Below are 3464 nucleotides of genomic sequence, written 5' to 3' on the forward strand. Positions count from 1 at the left end.
GGTGCAGTCTGGGCTCACTGCAACCTCAGCCTCCCAGGTTCAAGCAATTGTCCTGCCTCAGCCTCCCAAGCAGCTGGGATTATAGGTGCTCACCACCACAACCCGCTAATTTTTGTATTTTTAGTAGAGACGGGGTTTCACCGTGTTGGCCAGGCTGATCTCAAACTCCCTGGCCTCAAGTAATCTGCCCACCTCAGCTTCCCAAAGTGCTGGGATTATAGGCACAAGCCACCACACCCAGCCAATAGCTTCCTTTCTAACAAGTCTTGTTCCCTTCAGGCTGTACTCCATGTACCAATCAGTGTCAGGCCTTTAGAAAACACAGATGTGATTGTAAGACTCTCTTATCCAAATCCTTAATGGCAGCCCATAACTCTTAACATAATTATTTGTTCCTTAATGTGATCTGTAAGACGAGCCATGCCCCAGCCAGACGGTTGTCTTCGAGCCGTGGTTCTAGGCTCCTTGTGTCTCAGGGCCTTTGCACAGACTGACCTGTGTTTGCAACACTCCTTCTCTCATCTTCACCTCACTAACTCCTGCTCATTCTTCACATCGCAGTTCAAATTTCACTTCCTCCAAGAAGTCTGCCCTGTTCAGAGACAAGATTAGGAATGCTCTACGCTTCTTTCATAGACTTATCTTATAATGATGTATTTCTGGGACTATTCAAAGTATGTTTCTCTCACTAGACTAATAAGCTCTGTGGGGAACGAATCTGTTTCGTTTGTGGTGCGTCCGGGTACCTAACACCAGGACCGGCTACGTAACATGAGGCCCAGGGCAAAATGAAAACGCAGTGCTTCTGTTCAAAGAGCAGGAAAAAGCGTCATTGAAGGTGCTCAAATATACGGTGTTTTCCTTTCTTCTGTGTTCTCTCTCACTTGACTTGTCATGGTATTTTTATTTGCTATTTAATGTCATGCTAAGTTAAAAAACAAATTTAAGGCTGGGTGCGATGGCTCACGCATGTAATCCCAGCACTTTGAGAGGCTGAGGTGGGCGGATCATGAGGTCAGGAGTTCGAGACCAGCCTGGACAACATAGTGAAACCCCATCTCTCCTAAAAATACAAAAAATTAGCTGGGCGTGGTGGCGGGTGCCTGTCATCCCAGCTACTCGTGAGACTGAGGCAGGAGAATGGCTTGAACGTGGGAGGCAGAGGTTGCAGTGAGACAAGATTATGCCATTGCACTCCAGCCTGGGTGACAGAGCGAGACTCCATCTAAAAAAAATAAGATAAAATAAAATACAAAATAAATTTAAATTATCGTGACTTTTTACCATTTGTTTTTATATTGTAGGACGCAAGGTATAAATGAAAATATTAGCATTGACCTCATATGTAGAATCAACACAATTACACAATTCACATTCCACAGCTCATCCGTGTGTATGTATTTCATTCTTGCTAAACCAGTAGATACGCTGCACAAAACTAGCCCAGCTCTTTCTATCTCACTTCCTGACACCCACACACTCCAGCAACACTCTCTACCTTGGGATCATGCACACTAACGAAGGACTGAAAGGACAGGAGCTATAGGCTGCTCTCTCTTCCCCTTTCCTTGTTCCATACAAGTACTAACGAGGCCAGGCCCTGCTTAGCTTCTGAGACAGATTGGGCACCCTCAGGGCACTGTGGCCATAGTGTCCTGCCCTTTCCTTTCATGTCGTCTCAACACAGGGGTCGGTTAGCACGGGGAAGTAACTCCAATAAGAGAGGATACAACAGGGCTCCTCAGTCATTTGTGTCTCTTCAAATGTCATTGCCTTCTTTCTGTGTACAAGCGCATTCTGGTTTCAGTGGAAAGTGAGGCCTCTCCAGATGGTTAGTGCCCCGCTCACTCAGTCACTGACTAACAACCCTGCCTCTACTCACAGCATGCTGAGTTTCCTGCACATCCCACAGCATGGCTCCCCAGGGGCATGGAGAAGATTATGTGAATGGGGCGGCAGGGAACGGCGGCCACACACATCACATGTGGCTCCTCTGCTCCTGTGCATGCCGCCTTGTCCTACAGGACTTCGCTGACAAAACAGAAGTGTAAAGATATCGTTATTAATGTGACAGCAGAGTGTTAAACCGAATGCGGGGCACTTTCAAGTGCAGGACACTATGCAACTGACTTCGCAGGACTCAGAAAGTGGCCCTGCCTAGCACATGGCCACATAGCAGATGCTAATCAATGTGTTAAGTAAAGGAATGACGGGTTGTCACCTGATAGAAGATAAACAGTTCTTCTGGTTTTGATACAAACTAAAGGCCTCTCTCCTCCATCACCTTGGAGATCCCACATAAATATCAGAGGGGCACCACTGCCTGTGACTGCCTATCTTTCTGGAGAGGAGAGAGGGAGTTGCTCTAATATGTCAGAGCAAGAGTGAGAAGGAGGGTATGAGGGGAAGCTGACAGGGCTTATCTGTGAATTAATCACCACACTTTGCATGTACTGCAGGTCACACCTTGTATCCTATGCTCTTAAGACATGGTCCAAGTGTGAACTAAGCTCATAGCTCACTGCCTTCATCCACCTCTGTCACCGCTCCAGAAGAGAGCTCGAGTTGCTACTTCGTTAGCAGAAGGCCTCTGGACCCATCCTGGAGGGGTCCGGGAGCAGAGAGAGCAGCTCAGTCAAGGTCAGAGCCACAGGTTGCTGGACCTTCTCAAATTCCTCATGTACTGCCTTGATTTTCATCACATGCAGAAAGATCTCTGAGAATCACAAAGCCCAAGAGCCAGGAGACCTGGGTTCAAAATCTGGCTTTGTGTGAGCCTGGGCAAGTGATATCTTCTCTCTGGGCCTCATTATCTGCTCCATTAAATAAGAAAAGGAACTAGTTAAGTGGCCTAAAAGCAATGTTTCCCAGGAGCTCTGATGTCTCAGGAATTGCACTGGTTGGGACAGGGGAGATTCTCCCCAGCTTCAGTCAGCAGTAATAATAATAACAGGAGGCCGGGTGCGGTGGCTCACGCCTGTAATCCCAGCACTTTGGGAAGCCAAGGGGGGTGGATCACAAGGTCAGGAGATCGAGACAATCCTGGCCAACATGGTGAAACCCTGTCTCTACTAAAAATACAAAAATTAGCTGGGCATGGTGGCGTGTGCCTGTACTCCCAGCTACTTGGGAGGCTGAGGCAGGAGAATCACCTGAACCTGGGAGGTGGAGGTTGCATGAGCCAAGATCGCACCACTGCACTCCAGCCTGGCAACAGAGTGAGGCTCCGTCTCAAATAATAATAATAGGAAACATTTACAGAGTACCCACTGCCCCAGGTGCCATCATAAATGCTTCACATACATTCACTCATGCAGTAGTCACGATATTCCTATGAGATGGGTTTCAACTTCTATGCCCATCATCAGATGAGAAACTGAAGTGCTGAATGTCTAAGTGACTACTCAAGGTCACACAGCTAGTAAATGACAAGGCAAGGATTCGAGCCTTTGTAGTCTGGCTCT

The 3464-nt window shown here is 47.5% G+C and overlaps 1 annotated feature.

Moving 5' to 3' along the window:
- Positions 1884-2048: a silencer, noted in NCBI's record as "fragment chr9:46796-46960 (GRCh37/hg19 assembly coordinates)". NCBI's record gives its function as "represses an EF-1alpha promoter that drives an FKBP-Casp9 reporter gene in an ReSE screen in HepG2 liver carcinoma cells {active_cell/tissue: HepG2}" and the evidence as "EXISTENCE:reporter gene assay evidence [ECO:0000049][PMID:32094911]".

This window comes from Homo sapiens, chromosome 9 (genome assembly GCF_000001405.40).
Source record: "Homo sapiens chromosome 9, GRCh38.p14 Primary Assembly".
Taxonomy (NCBI): Eukaryota; Metazoa; Chordata; class Mammalia; order Primates; family Hominidae; genus Homo; species Homo sapiens.